At 45.6% G+C, this 22,650-nt stretch overlaps 1 protein-coding gene across 1 annotated transcript in view, besides 3 other annotated features; it reads right to left on the minus strand.

Moving 5' to 3' along the window:
* Positions 1-22,650, minus strand: part of PREX1 (phosphatidylinositol-3,4,5-trisphosphate dependent Rac exchange factor 1) — a 263,934-nt gene that overhangs the window by 204,845 nt on the left and 36,439 nt on the right. Inside the window, exon 2 of the mRNA XM_047440333.1 lies at positions 20,339-20,457. The gene's annotated coding sequence lies outside the window, so the exon portion shown is untranslated. The remainder of the gene's footprint in view (positions 1-20,338; positions 20,458-22,650) is intronic.
* Positions 10,173-10,282: an enhancer, noted in NCBI's record as "active region_18048". NCBI's record gives its function as "activates an Ori minimal core promoter by ATAC-STARR-seq in GM12878 lymphoblastoid cells {active_cell/tissue: GM12878}" and the evidence as "EXISTENCE:reporter gene assay evidence [ECO:0000049][PMID:35858748]".
* Positions 10,663-10,722: an enhancer, noted in NCBI's record as "active region_18049". NCBI's record gives its function as "activates an Ori minimal core promoter by ATAC-STARR-seq in GM12878 lymphoblastoid cells {active_cell/tissue: GM12878}" and the evidence as "EXISTENCE:reporter gene assay evidence [ECO:0000049][PMID:35858748]".
* Positions 17,618-17,897: an enhancer, noted in NCBI's record as "active region_18050". NCBI's record gives its function as "activates an Ori minimal core promoter by ATAC-STARR-seq in GM12878 lymphoblastoid cells {active_cell/tissue: GM12878}" and the evidence as "EXISTENCE:reporter gene assay evidence [ECO:0000049][PMID:35858748]".

Below are 22,650 nucleotides of genomic sequence, written 5' to 3' on the forward strand. Positions count from 1 at the left end.
ACTTAGCACCTAGAAAGTTCTCTGTAAATGTTTGTTCTTACTATTATTGCATGTGTGAAGCCCAACACCTAGAAAGTTCTCTGTAAATGTTTGTTCTTACTATTATTGCATGTGTGAACGGCCCTCTAAGCCTGGCCCCACTCTCAAATGGCCCATACAATCCCTAATCACCCGTGTTTCCGGACCAGAGATTGTATCGTCTCTGCAGGGGATAAAGTGATCCACATAGTATCCGCCTCTAGACTGTAGTCATTTTATGGACAGAAACATTGCTTATTTATTCCTGTTCCAAAAGCCTAGGATTTTCCTCCCATTGGCCTCTCAATACTGTAAGTGCCTAAGGACACAGGGAGAGAATGGGGTGGCTTCTGCCCTCTCTGACTTCTTTCTTTGGGATCATGGGCAAGGTAGCATTTGATCTGGGCCTTGGGCTGAGTGAAGTTCCCCTGGGCAGGGAGTAAAGGACATGAGATAGGTGAGCCTGTCACGCTTGGGTAGTGGAGTCAATTGTGTCCAAAGGTAGCTGGTTTTTTATTTATATTTTTATTCCTAATAAAGGCCTCTGGAGTATCTCTGCTTTGTGACTTTAAACTGTTCACGGTACCTTTCTGAGCCTCCGTTTCCTCATCTTTAAATTAATTCTGTCTACCACGAGGGGAGAACATGGCTGGAACATAATGGACCATGGAATGAAGCGGGCTTGCATTTGTATCCCAGTCCAAATCCAACTGGCAGGGTAACCTTGGCCAAGACACGTTATTTCTCTGGGCCTCAGTCGTCTAATCTGTAAAAGGGGAGTCTTTGTGAGAGCGAATTCTATGCAATACAGACTTTCTCAACCTTGGGACTATTGACATTTGGAGTCACATAACTCTTTGTTGGGGGAGGGGCGTGTCCTGTGCATTTCAGGACATTTAGCCGCGTCCCCTACCCACTAGATGCCAGTAGCACTCCCTCCCCAATCTGAGAATCAAAAATGTCTCCAGGCTGGGCACAGTGGCTCCGGCCTCTAATCCCAGAATTTTAGGAGGTCCAAGTGGGAGGATTGTTTGATCCCAGAAGTTCAAGACCAGCCTGGGCAACATAGCAAGACCCTGTCTCTACAAAAAAATTTTAAAAATTAGCTGGGCATGGTGGCACACACCTGTAGTACCAGCTGCTGGGCTGAGGTGGGGAGCTTGCTTGAGCCCAGGAGGTCAGGGCTGCAAGTAAGCTGTGATCACACCACTGCACTCCAACCTGGACAACAGAGTAAGCCTTGCCTCAAAAATAAACAGAAAAAGTGTCTCCAGACATTGCCAGATATCCCTGGGGACAGAATTGCCCCCTGTTGAGAACCACTGATGTAAAGTACCTGACACACATAGCTGGCACAGAGTAGGTGCTCAACAAATGTTAGTTCCCTTCTCAGCCCATGACCAAGGAAGGTTAGCCTCAAGTTTACACACAAATCCCACATTTCACCCAAGAATTGGCCCACACTGCCAAAAAACATTTCCACGTTGTGGATGGGTCCCATCTCTGGCCCACCCCAATGTTTTATACATCGTTACTTCCTCAGATTCTGCTGGGATCTTTTTCCCCTTCCATCCCCATCCCCAGTGGTAATGATGACACTAAAAGATAATACAGCGTTTAGTAACATACTTAAGCTCTCTGTGCCTTGCTTTCCTCATCTGTGAACTAAGAATAATATCAGTACCTACATCATAAAGTCGTTGCAAGGTTCCTGAGTGCATACATGGAGGGTGCTTAGAGCACACAGTAGGTGCTCAATAAGTGAAGTCTTTTACAATGCGTGGATTGAGTGCTGAATCTAATAGGATGCATTTGGCTGCAAGGAGAAGAAAACTGGGCTATTGATAGCTTAAAGCATAAGGACATTATTTAGCAAGAGGTCCAGAGGCAGTTGGTTCCTGAGGCTGGTGTAGGACTTCATGATGTCATCAAGGATCATGGCACCTTTGACCCTCCTATCCTCAGCATGGTGGCTTTTCCTCCCAAGCTTTAGGGCCTCAGAGGCACAAAATGGCTGCTGAAACAGCAACATTGCCTCCTCACACACCTCCAATGAAGGAAAGAAAAGTACGAAGAAGACTCTGTCTCCTCTGTGCTTCTCTCTTTGGGGGAATAAACTTAAGCTCCCAGCAGGTCAGCACTAGAAGCCATGGTCACCCTTGAAAAGTCCCTGACCGAGGGCATAGATTGCCACCATCAACTTAGAAAAGACCTGCTTAGTCCCCTGGCACAAGGCTGCCCAGACAACTTGGAGATCTGTTGTCAAGAGAGAAGAGGAGCTAGCATGGTGGGCATCTATAAGTGTCGGCCACAAGCATCTACTACACACTGGGCATTGGGCGGGGTCCTGAGGCTGCAGCACTGAGCACCCCAACAGCTGAGGCCCTTGTGCTGCCGGCATTATTCCAGCAAGGGGGATAGGTGAGGATGAAGACAAGTTCCTCCTCTCATGCATTCAACTATTATATACTGAGGGCCTCCTATGCTCCAGGCAGGGATACAGCAGTGAACAGAACAGATAAGGTCCCTGGCTTCCTGGTGTGTCCAGTCAAGAGCAGGGAGAGAAGGACAATAAATAAACAAGGTCCTTTCAGCTTCTCTAAGGCCTGCAAGGGATGGGCCTGGGGAAGCACCATTGGTTGGTGGCACCTCCAGGACTCTGCCTCAGGTCACTACCCCAGTGTCATGATTCAGCCATCAGGATTCAGCCAGGGGCCTCAGCCTTGGCGGGATCAGTGGGGACTCCCTCTCTTCAAAACCTGGCTGCCTCCCAGCTAATCCTGGCATAGGCAACTCCCTAAACCAAACATGACTAAGCAGTCAGGCTGGAGTAGATCTCTTCCTATCCCCATTTCAACTTTGACCTCTATTCCCTTCTTCCCCATCACCCGTCCGGAATATCTAGTGGGGAGCCTATCTGTCTCATGTGTATGTCAGGGCAGGGCCTGAAACAGCCGGCAGCTGGGTAACGTTCTCAAAAAGAACAGGGAGGAAGAAGAAAAAAAAAAAATTGCAGTTCAGGGGGAAGAAAAAAAAAGTGATGATAATGATAGGGAAATTCTCTTTTGCAGGGACAATTTTAGAGTTTCCGTTGCCATGTACTTTGCAAATAGTGGGAAATACCATTTCGTTTCTGTTACATAAGTTTCACAGTTGAGGGGGAGAAGATTCTGCTGCTTGGAAACATCAGAGTTTCTTATTCCCTGACAAGCCCCTGTCAGCTTCTGCAGGCTGAGGATTTGAAGGCCCCCTTCCCAAGCTCTGTTTAAAAGGAAAACTAATTAAGTTAAAGCAAGGAAAAACAAGTGATTTTCTTTCCCATCCCAAGTTGAATGAGCCAATTGAGAAGTGAGTTACTGCACTGCCCGAGGGTGCCATCATTTCCCAAATGCAAATGAGTTCTCAAAAGTCAGACCAGCAGCCCAGAGCAGGGCTGTTCCTCATTCTGAGAACCAAGAGCAGCTGTCTGAGAAGAAGAGGGAGGCCTCTCCACCCTTGGAATTAGAGCAGCTGGACAACTCAAATCAACGCTGGACACACAGCCCAGGGTTCACTTCTTCCCACCAAAATATAATCGTCTTCCTAGTAGTTGAGCTACCCCCAGCTGCCCAAGTCAAAACGTCTCTAAGGGAAGCCTTGCTGTTGGAAGCACATTCTCCAGGGGGCTCTGGTTCAAGGTCTGATTTAAGCATAATAGGTATCCAATTAAGTCAGGGCTCCACAGCTTTGCCAAATCATACTTTTGCCAGGAGGCATTGGAGACACTGCTTTGAGGAAGCAGAAAGGAAAACATCTAGGACCCTCAGTTCCAATCCCACTCTGCCACCAACATGCACGACTTCTTCTCCAGCCTTTGGACATTGTTGTAGCACCAGAGACCAGCTTCTCAGCTTCAAATCCCAGTCCCACTGCTTCCTAATTGTGTCACTTTGTGTAAGTGACTTAACCTCTCTGGGCTTCAATATCCATATCTGTAAAATGGGGTCAGTAAGAGCTTCTACCTCACAGCGTTGTTGTGCAGGTTAAAATATTTAATAGATCCAAAGTGCATAGTATGCTGCCCGATCCTTGGATGGGTGTTTGCTATTGTAAGTGGATGAAGCCATGATGTCTGGAGCTATGACAGCCATCTTGAGACCCTGAGATAGGACACTTCTAACTAACTGAAGGTGCAAAATGACAGATGGAAAGAATCTGGATCTTTGATGTCACTGAGATCCTGAATTAACCAACCATGGAACCACCCTGCCTCTAGACTTCTTGTATTAAAAGATAATAAAATGTATAACATCCCATTTTGGACCTTATGGTCACCCTATCTTTTCTTTCTTTTTTTTTTTTTTTTGAGATGGAGTCTCATTCTGTTGCCCAGAGTGGAATGCAATGCCGCGATCTCGGCTCACTGCAACCTCAGCCTCCTGGGTTCAAGTGATTCTCCTGCCTCAGCCTCCCAAGTATCTGGGATTACAGGTGCCCGCCACCACGCCCAGCTAATTTTTGTGTTTTTAGTAGAGACAAGATTTCACCATGTTGGCCAGGCTGGTCTCAAACTCCTGATCTCAGGTGATCCATCCGCCTCGACCTCCCAAAATGCTGGGATTACAGGCATGAGCACGGCGCCTGGCCGACCCTATCCTTTCAAATAAGCATTGACCTGACTTCTTGCTACTTTTAAAATGCAAATGCCAGCCGGGCGCGGTGGCTCACACCTGTAATCCCAGCACTTTGGGAGGCCGAGACGGGCGGATAGCGAGGTGAGGAAATTGAGACCATCCTGGCTAACACGGTGAAACCCCATCTTTACTAAAAATACAAAATATTAGCCGGTCCTGGTGGCGAGCACCTGTAGTCCCAGCTACTCAGAAGCTGAGGCGGAGAATGGCGTGAACCCGGGAGGCGGAGATTGCAGTGAGCCAGTGAGCCGAGATAGCGCCACTGCATTCCAGCCTGGGCGACAGAGCGAGACTCAGTCTCAAAAAAAAAAAAAATGCAAATGCCTCAGAAGGGTGCTGGTCTTCACCCTATTGCTTTCCTAATGGAGCAGAGACCTAAGGTTTATAACGTGAAGGCTGGATTGGGAGTAAAAGTTGAGAAAAGGGTTCAGAAAGAGACTGATACATAGAAGGTAAATTCTGCAATTTCGTCAAGGCCAGAGATCGACCTGGAGGAAATATCTTGAAATTTTGCAGCCAGGAATGCCAGATGGTTTCAACAGACATACTGGACACACATTTATATGTCTGGGTTATTTTTTTTTTCCCAGAACTGAAAGCTCAAAAATAAAGCTGCCCAGTCCAAATCCAGACACCTGGCAACCCCAGTGGTAACTTTTACTGAAAGCTGATGGTTTCCTCTGTAGCCGGCAGAAACACAAACAGCCACACCCTCTCCAAATGCCATTTAAGCCGCAGCCTGCCTTCCAAATTTCCAGGGCAAATTCCATTCCTGAGCCTTTTTTTTTTGAGATAGGGTCTCACTCTTGTCACCCAGGCTAGAGTGCAGTGGCACAATCACAGCTCACTGCAGCCTCAACCTTCCAGGCTCAAACACTCCTCCCATCTCCACCTCCTAAGTAGCTGGGACCCCAGGCATATGCCACCAGAACTGGCTAATTTTATTTTTTTTGTAGAGATGGGGATCCCACTATGTTGCCCAGGCTGGTCTTGAACTCCTGGCCTCAAGCAGTCCTCCCACCTCAGCCTCCCAAAGTGCTGGGATTACAGGTGTGAGGCACCACACCCATTTTTTGAGTGCTCACTCTGTGCAAGGCACTGTTGGATTACAGGCACCTGCCACCACGCCCAGGTAATTTTTGTCTTTTTAGTAGAGATGGGGTTTCACCATGTTGGCCAGGCTGGTCTCGAACTCCTGACCTCAGCTGACACCAGCCTCAGCCTCCCAAAGTGCTGGGATTACAGGTGTGAGCCACTGTGCCTGGCCCTGAGCTGGAAGTTTTATACATCACTTCTGCTCCCACCCTACTGGCCAGATCTTGCCACCCAGATGGCTCTGTGATTCTTTGCCAAGCCATGCCAAGCCACTGCCCAGGTGTTGCAGGTGGGCTGTGGGAATCTTGTTTCCTTGCGCTGAAACAGCACCAGGCATGTGTAAATAATCATTGAATGAATCAATATCTCCAGTATATGTTTTGGACTCCAGGTTGAGAGAAACCTCACCGTGAATGCCTGGGACTGTTCTAGGTACTGGGACTAGAATAGTGAATAAAGCAAAACTCTGTGTCCTCCTGTTGCTTACGTTCTAGGGACAGAAGAGACAATAAATAAAGACCCCCAATAAGTTGACAGAGTCAGCCAGATCATGGTAAGAGTTACGGAGAAAAACAAAATGGATTAAACAACAGGGAGCACTGGGGCCAGCACATGCCTGGAGGGGATGAGAGAAGGCCTCCCTGAGAAGGTGACATTTAAGCAAAGAACTGAAAGAAGTGAGGGAGTGGGCCCCACCTGTGTTCCGGGCAGCAGGAACAGCAGGTGCAAAGGCTTGGAGGTAGGAGTGTGTCCACTTGTTCAAGGAACAGCAAGGGGGAAGGGTAGTTGAGATGCATCTAGAAAGGAGAGGAAAACCAGATGTATGAGCCATATAGTTGACCATAGGACTTTGGCTTTTTCTTTGGATGAACTGGGAGCTAAACAGAGGAGAGCTATGACCTAACTTAGGTTCTAATAGAATCCCTCTGACAGCTCTATGGGAAGTAAACTAAGAGCAGGGTGAGGTCAGAAGCAGTAAGACCTATGAGGAGGATACTGCACTAGTCCAGGCAAGAGACATTGATGACTTGGGCCAGGGTGATACCAGAGGAGATGGAGAGAAACAGTTGATTCTGGATATGCTCTAAAGATGGAGCCAGCAGGATTTGCAGAGGATCTAGGGGTGAAATAGAGTGAAATAGAGTTAAACACGACTCGACTCTATTAGTGGCTCACGCCTATAATCTATGATTTTTGGAGTTGGCATTAACCACGATGGGAAAGATGGCAGGGGTCGGTGGGGTGCTGCTTTGGTGGAGAAGATGGAGCGTTTGGTTTTGGCCATGTTCAATGTCAAATTAAATACCCAAGTCAGATGTTGAGTGGGCAGTCACATCCACAATCCTGAGGTTCCAGGGAGAGGTCAGGCTGGAGATAGAAATGTAGCCATTGTCAGGATATAAGTGATAGTTAAAGCCTTGGGGCTGGGCGAGATCACCCAGGGAGGGTATGTGGATGGAGACCAGGACAAGGACAGAGGTCTGGGTCACACCAGCATTCAGAATGAGGCAGCCAGTGAATGGAGGCTGGAACAGGGGTGAGGGACAGTTCCAATTGTCCACAGGTGTTCCCTGACTCCTTTAAGACTAGACATAGCAATGGACTCTCCTGTGATCTCATTTTCCCTCGTGAAATAGACAGAGGGCAAAGTCTGGAGTGCAGTGGCACAACCATGGCTCTGTCATCTCCTCCAGAGCCCTGAGCCCCAATTTCTTATTTTGTTAAATGAGGACATTAAGAACCCCACTCTGGCTGGGTGCGGTGGCTCACGCCTGTAATCCTAGCACTTTGGGAGGCCATGGTGGGAAGATCACTTGAGGTCAGGAGTTCGAGACCAACCTGGTCAACCTGGCAAAACTCCATCTCTACTAAAAATACAAAAATTAGTAGGTCGTGGTGGCACACACTTGTAATCCCCACTACTCTGGAGGCTAAGGCAGGAAAATCGCTTGAACCCAGGAGGTGGAGCGAGATCGCACCACTGCACTCCACCTGGGCGACAGAGTGAGACTCTGTCTCCAAAAAAAAAAAAAAAAAAAAAAAAGAACCTCGCTCTGCCAGCTCTCTGAGGGACACAGCGACATAAAAAGAACTTACAGACCCCAAACTGCTAGAAAAAGTGAAAAGGAGTTCCTTCCCCCACCATCTAACCTTAATCTTTCAGAAATGTGAAACTGAAGCATAGGAAAATACTTACATAGATTCAGAGAAAACCAAAGAGAAGTAGTGGCCAGTGAGATATCATCTCACACTAATCAGAATGACTATTACTAAAAAGCCAAAAAAATCACAGATGCCCTGAGGTTGCGAAGAAAAGGGAATGCTTATGCACTGCTGGTGGGAGTGTAAATTAGTTTAACCACTGTGGGAAGCAGTGTGGCGATTCCTCAAAGACCTAAAAACAGAACTACCATTAGACCCAGCAATGCTGTTACTGGGTACTACCCAAAGGAATATAAATCATTCTACCATAAAGACACATACACACGTATGTTCATTTCAGCACTGTTCACAATAGCAAGGACATGGAATCAACCTGAATGCCCATCAGTGGCAGACTGGATAAAGACAATGTGGCACATTTACGCCATGAATACCATGAAGCCATAAAAAATAACAAGATCATGTCCTTGGCAGGAACGTGGACGGAGCTGTAGGCCATTATCCTTAGCAATCTAAAGCAGGAACAGAAAACCAAATACCTCACGTTCTCACTTATAAGCAGGAGCTAAATGACGAGAACTCATGGACGCAGAGGGGAGCAACAGACACTAGGGCCTACTTGAGGGTGAAGATTGGGAGGAGGGAGAGGAGCAGAAAAAATAACTATTTGGTACTAGGCTTAGTATCTGGGTGATAAAATTGTCTGCACAACACACCCCTGTGACACAAGTCTACCTGTATAACAAACCTGCACAGGTACCCCTGAACCTAAAATAAAAGTTTAATGAGAGAGAGAGAGACAGAGAGAAAGAAATTTAAAAATTGAAAGAAAAAAAAAAAGAGTGGTGGCAGAGAAAGAACTACTTACAACTCCATGCAATAACATGAATGAATTTTAGAAACATGATATTGAGCCAACGAAGCCAGATACAAAAAGGTATTATACATGATGTAGGTATGATTCCATTTATACAGAGCTCAAAAGCAGGCAGTATTGAACTACAGTGCTCAGAGGATGCAGTGTGAATATAGCACTGCATGGCAAAGCTGCAAAGAAAAGAAGCCAGGCAGCGGTTTCCTCTCCGGTTGGGAGGGGTCTGGGATTCAGATGAGCCGCACAAAGGCTTAAGCGGGGCTGGAAACGTTCTATTTCCTAACCCACATGGTGACTTCACAGGGATTCACTCTGGAATCATTTGTTAGGTTTTATATTGATGTCTTATGCACTTTTCCCTATGTGTTCTCTGTTTCCTAATTTAAAGATGCATCAAAAACCTTAAAAATAAATATATATACACCTATATTTACAGCCTTTAACCAAGTTATTCCCATTCTGTTCATCTAAACTACAGAAAAGAATCACACATTCAGACAAACTTCGATGCGCAAAGATGTGCATTGCAGCATCATTTATAATAGCCCTATATTTGAAAGAACCTAAATTCTCACAAGTAAGTAAATACTTAAATATAGTATGTCCCCAATTTGGAAAATTATTTAGCCATTGAAAAGTCTGATGTCAAAGAATATTTAATAGAATAGAAAAAAATGCTCATGATACATAGATGAATGGGGAGGAAAAGAGCAGAAAATAAATTATGTGATAATTAAACATGTACTCCAATAAATAAATGATATGCAGACTGTGATCCCAATATTGTCAACATGTATTACATATTCATAGGAAAATGACAGCAAGGGGCCAGGCACAGTGCCTCATGCCTGTAATCCCAGAACTTTGGGAGGTGGAGGCTGCTGGATCACTTGAAGTCGAGTTTGAAACCATCCTGGCCAACATGGCAAAACCCCATCTCTACTAAAAATACAAAAATTAGCCGGGTGTGGTGGCAGGCGCCTGTAATCCCAGCTACTTGGGAGGCTGAGGCATGAGAATTGCTTGAAACCAGGAGGTGGAGGTTGCAGTGAGCCAAGATCGTGACTCTGTCTCAAAAAAAAAAAAAAAAAAAAAAAAAAAGCAAGGAAATATATTTTAAAATAACAAGAGTAGTTACATCTGGGGAGTGGGATAATTATGGGTGTTTGTTTTCTTTATACTTTTTTCACATTTCCCCAATTTTCTGCCATGGATGTATATGGCTTTAATTCTTTACTACACTGCTTTTCCTCCTCTTTTGATTTGGACCCCAGATGCACAGAATCAGTTGGTCACACTCCTTGGGCCATTTGACCGTCAACTGCATTAGACTATGGCCTAGGTTTTGTTTTATTTTCACTTCTTATTTTTGCCTCTGTCACCCGTCTCCAACTCCTCCCATTTCCCTCTCCCCCACAGACACCCACTTGGATATATTTAAAGCTTGTTCTTTAGATCCATCTGCCACACATTTGTTTGGATCTATGGGTATTCAAACAGGCATAGTAGAAAATATATACAGAGATAAAGACATAGTGTTTTATCTGTGTTTTCAAATGTTTATGTAAATGGTACAGAGTTACGCATTTCATACTATGTTACCTTTTTCACTCAACATCCTGTTTCTGAGATCCTGCTTTGTTGCTCTTTGTAGATACAACTCCATGCTCAGTGTTCCATTGCATGCTTGCGCTACCTGGTCCATGCTTGTGCTACCTGGTCGAGGCTGCGGACTACATTTCCCAGGCCTCTTGCAGGTGGGTGGAGCCCCATAACTGAGTTTTAACTCGTGGATGCTGTTAGGTGAGATGTGCATCATCACCTCTAGTGCTGGCCCATGAAATTTCTCCCACACATGCTCCTCCTTGCTCCTTTCCCTTATAGCTGATAGGGATGACGTCCCCCACAGTGACCTTGGAAGCCGCGGTTGAAGGTGGCAGAGTAACTCTCAGTCTGGGTCTGAATGTCTCCCTGGAGGAGAGCCAGACTACTGATCGCTAACAGTCACCTTGGATTATTATGAGCCATAAAACTTCCATTACATTTGACCCTTTATATGCTTTAAGGCCTGTTTATTACAATTGCAATTATTTTTGTTTGTTTGTTTGTGTTTGAGACAGAGTCTTGCTCTGTTGCCCAGGCTGGAGTGCAGTGGCACAATCATGGCTCACTGCAGCCTTGACCTCCCGGACTCAAGCCATCTTCCCACCTCAGCCTCCCAAGTAACTGTGACTACAGGCGCTTGCCACCACATCAGGCTAATTTTTGTATTTTTTGTAAGGACAGGATTTCACTATGTTCCCTATGCTGGTCTCAATTTCCTGGGCTCAGGTGATCCTCCTGCCTTGGCCTCCCAAAGTGCTAGGGTTACAGGTGTGAGCCACCGTGCCTGACCACGACGGCAAGTATTAACCTTAACCAAAAAAAAAAAAAAAGAAAAAAAAAAGCATATTCTATTTATCCATTTCCTAGTGCTAGACACTGTTGCTCCAAACTCCTTGAAGCAATGCCATGATGAACCTCCTCATACACATTTCCATATGCATCTGTGAGCAAGCGTTTTCAGGTTATCTAACAGAAATGGAATGCCTGCGCCATGGGGTTTGTACATATTTTGTTTACCTGACCAAAGCAATGGCAGAGACATTCAGGTGTGTGGGGCAGTGACAGCAGAGATGTTCATATTCAGCTAGCCAAAGTCAGCATGGCTGCTTGGGGTGGGCAGGCTCAATGGGGCTACCAAGGGGTCATTGCTAGATCAACCCCACAGAGTGCTTTGGGCATTGTTTTTGGCACAGCCTTTAAGGCTGGCCTTCTAAGCATCCTTGAGATTCTGTGAGCTCCCATAGCTGTTAATAAAATTAGAGCGAGTTCTGTTGCTTACAATTGCAAATCCCCTTATTTATGTATTTATTTATTTAGAGACAGGGTCTTACACTGTAGCCCAGGCTGGAGTGCAGTGGCATGATCATGGCTCACTGAGACCTCAAAACTCCTGGGCTCAAATGATCCTCACACCTCAGCCTCCCAAGTAGCTAGTAGCTGATTAAAAAAAAAAATGTGCAGATGGGGGTCTCACTATGTTGCCCAGACTGGTCTCGAACTCCTAGGCTCAAGCCTTAGCCTCCTGAGTAGCTAGGACTACAGGCACGTGCCACCATGCCCAGCTAATTTCATGTTTTGCAGATACGGGGTTTCACTATGTTGCCCAGGCTGGTCCCAAACTCTTGGCCTCAAGGGATCCTCCACGCCTCAGCCTCCCCAAGGGCTTGGATTACCGATGGGAGCCACTTCACCAGGTCTGCAAATCCCTTTTCATATGCTAGATTCAGGGGAAGGCAAACTTCTTCTGCAGAGAGCCAGAAAGTAAGTATTTTTGGCTTTGCAAGTCATACAGTATCTTCTCAGCTTCTCGATTCTGCTGTTGTAGCAATAAAGCAGCCAAAGACAATAATAATGAATGGGTGTGGCTGTGTTCCAATAAAACTTTATTTATAAAAACAATGGCCCACAAGACATAACTTGTTAATCCCTGAGCTAGATAAAAAAGAGACATCTCCTTTCTCTAAATCTCTATGTAGACATTTATGCCATGTTTCTTAGTCTTAGCTACTTGGTAAACGCTTGTTCTCATCCACACAGAGGGGTCCTCACACATGGCCTAACACATTACCTTGCCTGAAATAGACTGGATGAATAAATGAATGAGTGAATGAATGAATGGCCTTAATTTAGAGGTGGTCTCAATGAACAACCCAGGCAGAGACCAATCAGAACCGCAGCCGGCTGTAGACAACCTGTGCCACAGAACCAGCGGAGTACAGAGTATCATTCTTTGTCCTTCAGCTGTTGCATGAAGACTACCTTCTTCACAACTAACCCCCCGCCCACCCTACCTGGCTTTATCCCACATCCCTGGTAGGCATCCATTTAGGGGCTCAGTTTCTGAATTTCAGAAGTTAATGAGGAACAAGGGCAACTGTGGGGGGTTCAGTTCTTAACAGCAAACTGTTCCAGTGACTAATCCATCTTTCATTCCCAGTATTTTTATTTGTCCCAGCAGAAATGTGTATGAGTCACAGCTCCTGGATAATTTTTTTTTAATGCATCATTGCGTGTATATCTCTGGCCTGCAGACCTGCAAGGTCTGGGTGCTGTTGACAGGGGGCTAATGATTTCAGCAGCAACAACAAAAGCTGTCAAGTCATGCTAACCAGGACTTCTTTCCCCCATGCCTATCAGCATGAAAGAAATAAAAAAAGAAAAAAAAATGGACTTAGTGTCTGATTAAGAATGTGGCACATAGAGTGATTTAGGCGGCCACAGACTTATACTTTCTCCTACCAATAACTTTCCCTTTTTTTAAGACCCTGCCACAAACACCTCTTCTTTCGGAAAGCCTTGATTAATCTAATCTCAAAGACCAGCTCTCAGAGCAGCTCTAAAACCACTATGATTTGCAAATCAAATCTCACCCTCTTCTGATCTCATTTCTGTCTTGCAGTGTATTCCTGCAGCCTTTGTGTAGAAAATTCCTATTCTACCCCTTTCAAATAATTTGTAGCTTGCTTTCTGGAGTGTGAAGTCTCTTCCACGTGGGTATATTCTCTCTCTCCAGCGTGGTGCAGTGAACCGTGATTGTGCCACTGAACTCCAGGCTGGGCAACACAGCAAGACACTGTCTCAAAATAAAAATCTAGTAGCCGTGTCTCCATCCTTATCATATTCAATTATTCAGTAGCACTCAGCACAGTGATTTCTCTCTCCTTCTTAAAATATGCTTTTTGCACCAAATCAGACAGAGTTGATTTGGGAATTATGAAGAGATGAAGCCAAACATCCACTTGGCCCCTCACTGGCTATGTGACTTCACTTCTTGGGGGCCCCAGTTTTTGCATCTATAAATGGGGATGATAATGATGATAATCATAATAACAGAATAAAGGTAGATAATGTTTCCTGAGCCACTAATCATAATATATGCTCAATATAAACAAGGGTTTTTCATCTATTTTGCTCATTGCTGTATGGTCGGGGCTAGCACAGAGCCTGGCACCATTTAGATAATCAACAAACATTTTTTGAATAAATGAATTAATGGATTGTTTCCCATACTTGCCTAATCTTAAGATGCCTCACCATCCTCCCAGGAAGAGACTCCAAGGTCAACCTTGACTCTCGTATTATCTGTGTCTAGAATTCTAATTCCTCAAATTGCTTAGTTTCCGTATTACTCAATGATCCTAAAGATGCAAGTGACAGAAATCCAACTCAAACCAGTTCAGGGAAAATACGGAATATATTGGGTCATCTAAGCCTGTCTAACTTCGGGCATGGCTGGATCCAGGTGCTCAAAGATTGCTTCTTTCCCAAGAGTGTAACTCAGAAGGCTGTCTCTGATTGGTCAGGATTGGGTCATGTGTTCAATCACTATGACTCTGAATGGCCAGGCCTGAGTCATGTATTTTCTACTAGAAAGGAAGGGAGGAATGGTCCCCACAAGGTTAACTGGAGCCCCAGTACTACAAGAAGAGAAATAAATGCTGGCTAGGCAATAACAAAGAATTGAGGGAGGCTCCTCCAGACTCACCAGTCTACATTCCCTCCTGAACACTCTGCCAGGTTAATGCTATAAAGGGCAAACATGATCAAGTTACTTATCCCTGTGCTCAAGCACCTTCACTGGCTCCCTACTGCTGACTAAAGTAATTATAGTTTGCTCAGCGTGGCATGGAAAGTCCTTTGCAATATACCTGTCTTCTCCAGGCTGAGGGATCAGTGAGAAAGCTGTTCTAAGAATCCGGACAAGCAATGGTGAGGCATGGAGTTTGGACAGCAAGAGTGGGGATGCAGATGTGGATTTCAGAAAAATCCATAATTTCACTGAAACTGCCTTCATCAAGGTCAAAAATTTGGACTGCCAAGTCCAAATCTAGTAGCTGTGACCTGGCATGGTGGCTCATACCTGTAATCCCAGCACTTTGGGAGGCCAAGGCAGGAAGATTGCTTGAGGCCAGGAGTTCAAGACCAGCCTGGGCAACATATTATCTAAAAAATTAATTTAAAAAAAGTTAGCCAGGCATGGTGGCATGCAACACTAGTCCCAGCTACTTGAGAGGCTGAGGTAGAAACCTCACTTGAGTCTGGGAGGTCGAGGCTGCAGTGAACTGTGATTGCACCACTGCACTCCAGCCTGGGCAACACAGCAAGACCCTGTCTCAAAAAAAAATCTAGTAGCTGTGTCTCCATCCTTATCATATTCAATTATTCAGTAGCACTCAGCACAGTGATATTTCTCTCCTTCTTAAAACATGCTTTTTGCAGGAAATATTTGGGATACCCTGTACCCCCCATTCCCTTGCACGGCCATGTTCTACTGGCCTTCTCTGGCAGCAGATATGTGCTCAGACTCTATCTTCTACACCCATTGAAGACACCATTGGTTGCAAACCAGCAACATTTTCCCCTTCTCCCTATTGAAACCCCAAGTTTGGCCACCATATGCTTCTGGAGAGAATGAACCCTCCTCACCCCCAGCAGGCAGATCTTAATGAAATTCAGCCAATCATGAAGAGGCATGTGACTCATTTCTAACCAATAAGACTTGATGGAAATCTGCTGGAGGCTTCAGGGAAGGTCTTCTTCCCTCTCAAAACAAGATACAGGAAAGGAAAGTGACTTGTTCTGCTCTTGTGGCTTGTGGATGTTGTTGTGACAGCACGATGTCTAGGGGCTATGGCAGCCAACTTGGACCCACGAACGGAGACCGTGCCATCATGGTAGATGGAAAGATGCAAGGAACCTGGATCCTCAATGCTGCTCTTGAGCCGAATTACCCAACCCTGGGACTGTCCTATCTCAGGACACATTGCATAAAACACATTGGGTTCAGTCTTCATTTACTTATAGCAAAAGTCATCTTGATGGATATACTGCTTGTATGGTAAAACTTCCAGAAACATGACTCCAGCTATAACCTTCTTTCTCACATCACTCCAGACCTACGTGGGATGTTTAATGGACATCTTCCCAAGCAGTCCTACAAGCACTTTAAAAATGTGTCCCAACTTGAATCAATTATCTGCCACATTCCCCAAAAGACTTTTATTCACTAGATAAATGGCATCGCCATCTATGTGATTTCTCTCATGAGTGATCCTCAAGTCTTTTTTCCATTCCTTTATTCATTCATGTAACGAACTCTCATTTACTAAGCTCCTCTATGCACTGGGCATTATGCAAGATGTAGGGGATAACACAGTGACTAAGACAAAGTTCCATCCCTCGTGAAGCTTATATTTCCGGTTAGAGGGAGATATTAAACAATTAACCCATAACTGACAGCAGCTAAGAAATAAACAGGATGTTCTCATAGAAAAATACAGGGAGGCACACACCTAGATAAGGTGATCAGGGGAGGCTTCCATAGGCAGGTAATAAATAAGCTGAGATCTAAATGCACAGCCAAAACCAACTCTGCAAAGCATGAGAAGAGTTTTCTAGGCTGGGCGCAGTGGCTCACGCTGTAATCTCAGCACTTTGGGAGGCCAAGGCAGGAAGATTGCTTGGGGCCAGGAGTTTGTGACCAGCCTGGGCAACATGACGAAAAGTGTCTCTACAACATACAAAAAAATTAGCCAGGTGTGATGGTCCATGCCTTTAGTCCCAGCTACTCTGGAGGCTGAGGTGGAAGGATCACTTGAGCCCAGGAGGCTGAGGTTGTAATGAGCCGTGACTGTGCCACTACACTCCAGCCTGGGTGACAAAGCAAGACCTTGTTTCCAAAAAAAAAAAAAAAAAAGAGCTTTCTAGGCAGAGGAAATAGCAAGTGCAAAGGCCCCAAGGCTGGACCAAATTTGAGCTTTCCAGAAGCCGCGAGGAGGCCAGTGAGGTGGTAATGTGGAGACAGGCAGATCCAGCAGGGCCTCAAAAGTGATGTGTGGATTTTATGCTAAGTGCAGTGGGCAGCCAGGGGAGGAATTTAAACAAGGATGTAACATGATGTGACTCAGGTTTTTAAATGGTCTCACAGGCTATTGCATGGACGATGGCCCATAATAATAAAAATGATCACAGCTAACACTTTGATAGTAGATACTGTGTGCCAGGCATTGTTCTAAGCACATTCCGTATATATTAACTCATTAAGTCCTCCCACCGACCCCATGAGGTCAGCACCATAATCATTCCCATTTTATTGATGAAGAAACTGAGGCACAGAGAATTACAGAAACTTGCCTACGGTCACATAGCCAATAAATCAAAGCCTGGCCTAGAGGAAACAAGGAGACTAGCTACAGGCTGTGGTGCATGTCCAGAAAGGGGGCTGCAGGCAGTGGGGCTTGGATTGGCCCAGGGGAGAAGTGCAAGGGAGGATCCCGCATATAATTTCACGGCGGAGAGGAAAGAACTTGCAGGTGGTCTTATCCTCTGTCCATTCTCACTCCTTTCTCCAGCAGGTTTTTGAACTTGACTTCTGGCTTGGTGGTCTCCCAGCCCACCTTATATTAATAGATGGGGATGTCCTCGCTGTCTCCTCCCCCACCATCCTGCTGTCTGGCACCTCGTTCATCTCACACAACCACTCCCCTTGAAAACAGCCCGACCCTCCTACAGTACAACAGTCTCCACCTTGGTCTTGCCCTGCCCACTCCACACCAGAGATTAAAAGCCAGGCAGCCGCTCCTGGCGGTCAAAGGAGAGCACTTTGTAGACGCTCCCTGGACCCCAGCAAAACTTCTATTGTGTTGCTGGAGACAGAAACAATGCCAGTGGCCCAGTTGCTCCCCAGCCAAAGGTGGCCCCAGCAAACAGTCTCCCAGCCCCATGGATGGGGTGCCTGGGAGTGTTAACAGAGCTCCCTCGGGGACCAGAGGGCCAGGAGAGAAGCAACATGTGCCTGCTGGACACTCCCGTCTACAGCCGGCTGCAGCCCCCACCCACCCACGTGCCTCACTCTAGGCGAAGAAAACCCAAAAGTAGGAGAGGACAGGCCAGAGATGGCTGCTTGACCTTTCAAGGGGAGGCAGGAGTTTCTACAAAGCCTCTGGGAGTCCCCTAAGTATGTGTTCCTACCCTCCAGGGGCTAGGAGGTCACCCTCTCAGTTCCTCATCAGCCTGGGATAGGTTCAGCGGTGGGTGGAAAATATGACCAGCAAGGGGCCTACCCACACCCGGGGCCTGCTTTGGGGCTTTCTTAAAAAGACAGTGCTAGGATCCCAGACCAACAAGACACCTTGTGCAAAGCTCTGTGCTCTAGGCTCTCAGAGAATAGGAAAGCACCCTGTCCTTCTGGGTCAGAGTGGAGTTAAGATGAGTTATGCAGAGGCAGAGATTTGGGGGAGAGATCAAGGAATACTTCATGGAGGAGGGGGCCTTTGAGAGTGCTCTGAAAAAACTGAGAGGATTCCTTTCTTTGCCCTGCCCTCCCTCTTCCTTCTCTTATAAAAAAAAAAAAAAAAAAAACAAACCCTCCCCAAATGACTAATAAATAAAAGACACACAAAAGAGACACATATGCTTTATCTATAATGTATAGGCCGTGTTGTTTTTGAAACTCTTTTCTGCTCTGTAAAGGAATGTGTGTGCATCACGGAAACCTTGGAAAACCCAGAGCAGCATATAGAAGAAAATGAAAATTGCCTCTATTTCCACCATATAGAGATAAAACACTCTTAACTTGTCAGAGTATTCCTTTCCAGGCTTTGGTGGTGTTTTTTCATATTATTACTAAGGTGAAATTTACTTGCAGTGAAATGCACATGTCTGGAATATATGACTCAATGCATTTTGACAAATGTCTACACCCGTGTGTACACCCTTCCAATCGAGATCTAGAACATTCCCCTCACCCCAGAAATTTCCCCCGGGTCCCCTTCCAGTCAGCCCCCATCCTTCTGATTTCTATAAATTAGTTTTGCCTGCCATGTAATTGGAATCATGTGCTATGTGCTTTTTTGTGTCTGGTTTCTTTCACTCAACATAAACAATGTTTTTAGATTTCTCCACGTATCAGTAGCTTGTTCTTTTTCATTGTTGAGTAGTGTCCCATTGTGTGGATAAATCACAGTGTGTTCATCCTGCAAGAATCTTTTGGGTTGTCTCCACTTTGGGGCTATTATGAAAGAGCCACTTATAAATATTGGCCAAGTCTGTGCATGGATGTAGGTTTTCATTTTTCCTGAGCAAATACTTAGGAGTGGGATAACTGAGTCATATGATTAACTTTTATGAGAAATTGTCAACAGTTTTCCAAAGTGGTTGTACCATTTTATATTTCCACCAGCACTATATGAGGGTTCCAATTTCTCGATATCATTACATTTTTTCTTTTTTTTTTTTTTGTTTCTTTTTGAGACAAGCTCTCGTTCTGTTATCCAGTCTGGAGTCCAGTGGCACAATTGTGGCTCACTGCACCCTCAACCTTTCAGGCTCAATTGATCCTCCCACCTCAGCCTCCCGAGTAGCTGAGACCACAGGTACACACTACCACACCCAGCTAATTTTTATATTTTTTTTGTAGACAGAGCATTTTGCCATGTTGCCCAGACTGGTCTTGAACTCCTGGTCTCAAGCAATCTGCCCGCCTCATCCTCCCAAAGTGCTAGGATTACAGATGTGAGCCACCACACCCGGCCTATTATTACTTATTAATTACACAAGTAATACATGAGTATAGTCTCCTGCAAGGCTAAAATACCTTTGGATAACCACCTGGCACCCACCAGTCCCCCCAGAATAACTACCATCAGCAGTTTGGGATGCTGCTTCGCAGACGTTTGCAGACCTTTTCTTGTACATTTATATGTATAGATATATAACATTTTTAGGGGGGGTGGTTGGAGTCTCGCTCTGTCGCTCAGGCTGGAGTTCAGTGGCGGGATCTCGGCTCACTGCAACCTCCGCCTCTGGCATTCAAGGAATTCTCCTGCCTCACCCTCCTGAGTAGCTGGGACTACAGGCACACACCACTGTGCTCAGCTAATTTTTGTGTTTTTAGTAGAGACGGGGGTTTCACCATATTGGTCAGGCTGGTCTCGAACTCCTGACCTCAGGTGATCCACCCACCTCAGCCTCCCAAAGTGCTGGGATTACAGGCGTGAGCCACCATGCCTGGCCTGATATATTGACTGTGCCACTGCACTCCAGCCTGGGAAACAGAGGAAGACCCTGTCTCAAAAAAAAAAAAAGGAATGTTTGTGCATTGCTAAAACCTTGGAAACCCGGAGAAGCATGTAGAAGAAAATGAAAATCACCTCCATTTCCACCATGTAGCTTAAACATCCTTAACATGTCAGAGTATTCCTCTGTTTTCTATAGATATATATATACATATCACTATATATGTGTGATTATATATGTGTCTCCATAGAAATAAACAAAACAATACTAGAAACAAATACAATACTAGAAACAGAACAATACTATGTGTCTTCTATGGATATATATATAGTATTGTTTTGTGGTGACTCTTTTTACAAAAATCTTGCATTATATATTTCTTCATTGTACTTACCACCCAGGCCGTATTGTTTGATTCCCTGCCTAGGATGTTAGCTCAGCTGGGGCAGGGAATTTGTTTTGTTCACTGCTAGATTCCCAGTGTCCAGCATAGAGTGGCTGCTCCATCAATATCTGTGGAATGAAAGGATAGTGGACATATTGTTCTGCAATTTGCTGGCTTCACTCTATAAATATAACTCATAGATCTTTCCACATCCACACTTACAGATCTATTTCCCTCTGTAAACTGCCGCATAGCATATTCTGTGATATGAATGTGCAAAATGTCTTTTACATCCCTCTGTTTGTAGGTTTTAGTAAAATCAGCCAAAGGGTCAGGATTTCTACCACCACATACTTCAAGGAGCTCAACACATTGCCTACTTGGTGGGGAGTGGGGGGGAATAATGGTAAATAGGTAGAATCTTTATAATTTGGCAAGTGAGGGTGGTAGTGGGGAGAAAGGTAGCATCAAAGTTGTAGTGGGGTGGTTATGCTCACTCTGGAGCCAGATGTTCTGGGTTCATATCATGACCACCACTGTCATGCTGTGTGATCTTGGGCAAGTTACTCAACTTCTCTGTGCATCAGTTTTCCATCTGAAAGATGGGAATAATAATAGTAACCTCCAAGGGTTGTTATGAGAATTAAAAGTCTATAGAGCAGCAATGAGCACTTGTTAAATACTCTGGTGTTATCTACTGTTATTATTCAACAACCAAAGGGTGTTTGCCTCTAAGGAACACATCCAGCTCCCTTCAGTCATTTTCTCTACCTTTCTGGCCCGGGTGGGCTCTGGCTTTCCCATCCACTGAGCTAGAACCTTTATTGCAGAGTAGAGAGTGACCCGGGGCAAGCGGAGGGCCGAGGGGAGGAAACCCAGGGAGGAGCAGCTTTATAGGAACCAGGAGAGAAAGGAGTTTCCAGAAGCCAGGGCTGGTAAACAGTGACAAAAGCTCTAGCAGAGGGGTAACGATGTGGACCCAGATTAGGCGGTTGCAATTTGGCAGCAGGGAAGTCACCGGTGACCTTTGGGAGAAACGCTGGGGCAGAAGCCAGCTTCAGAGGGACAGGGACAGGGACAGGGACAGGGCCTGAGCTGGGGCTGGGGAGTCTTCCAGGAGCTGCCAACTGCTCTTCTGAGAAACCTGGCCAAATTGGACCATATCTTGAAGGAGAGAGAAAATATTTTGTTTTTTTTTAAGGATAAGAAGCTCTGAGCAGGTTTAAGAGGGGAAACTTATTTCAAGAGCCATGACTACAGGATCTGAGAGGAGGGGAGCTGGGACTGGAATGGGAGCCAAGAGCCCGGCATTTTGATCCCAACATTTCTGCTGAATCTTTTCTTCCCCGCCATCTCCGTGCCTCTGCACCTGCCAACCTCCCTGCCAGGAGCACCCTTCCTCTGTCTGCCTGGCAAACTCCTCTTCATCTTCTAAATTAGGGGTTGACAAACTCTGGCCACCAGCCAAATCCAGCCCCCCGCCCCCTGCCTGCTTTTGTACAGCTTGTGAGCTAAGAATGGTTTTCACATTTTAAATGGCTGGGATGGGGGGAATCAAAAGAAGACTATTTCGTGACACATGAACATTATATGAAATTCAAATTTTGGCTTCCATAAATAAAGTTTTATTGGCACACAGCCACACTCCTTTGTTTACCTATTGTCTGTGGCTGCTTTCTTGCTACAGTGGCAAAGTGGAACAGTTGTGACAGACCATGGGTCCTGCAAAGTCTGAAAAATTCCCTATCTGGCCTTTTACAGGAAATGTTTGCTGATCTCTGGTCTAAATCGCTACTTGAGGCCGGGCATGGTGGTTCACGCCTGTAATCCCAGCACTTTGGGAGGCTGAAGCGGGCGGATCTCTTGAGGTTAGGAGTTCAAGACCAGCCTGGCCAACATGGTGAAACCCCATCTCTACTGAAAAGACAAAAATTACCCAGGCGTGGTGGCAGGTGCTTGTAATCCCAGCTATGTGGGAGGCTGAGGCAGGATAATTGCTTGAACCCAGGAGGTGGAGGTTGCAGTGAGCTGAGATCACGCCATTGCACTCCAGCATGGGTGACGGAGCAAGACTCCGTTTAAAAATAAATAAAAATAAATAAATAAATAATAAATAAATCTCTACTTGAGATGAACAAAAACTACCACTGTCTTTCTCAGCCTTACCTCCTTTGTGACCATCCCTTGGTCCTGTGAGCCCCTTTAGCACTGGGAACCAAGTCATAGTATGGCATGGTGCACGCTGGTTGGCTGTCACTTGTTTGTTATGCATTTGTCCCCGCCTTCCTGAAGGACCTGAACCTTGCCCTGTAGGCTTCAAT

Source organism: Homo sapiens, chromosome 20, assembly GCF_000001405.40.
Source record: "Homo sapiens chromosome 20, GRCh38.p14 Primary Assembly".
In the NCBI taxonomy this organism is placed as follows: domain Eukaryota; kingdom Metazoa; phylum Chordata; class Mammalia; order Primates; family Hominidae; genus Homo; species Homo sapiens.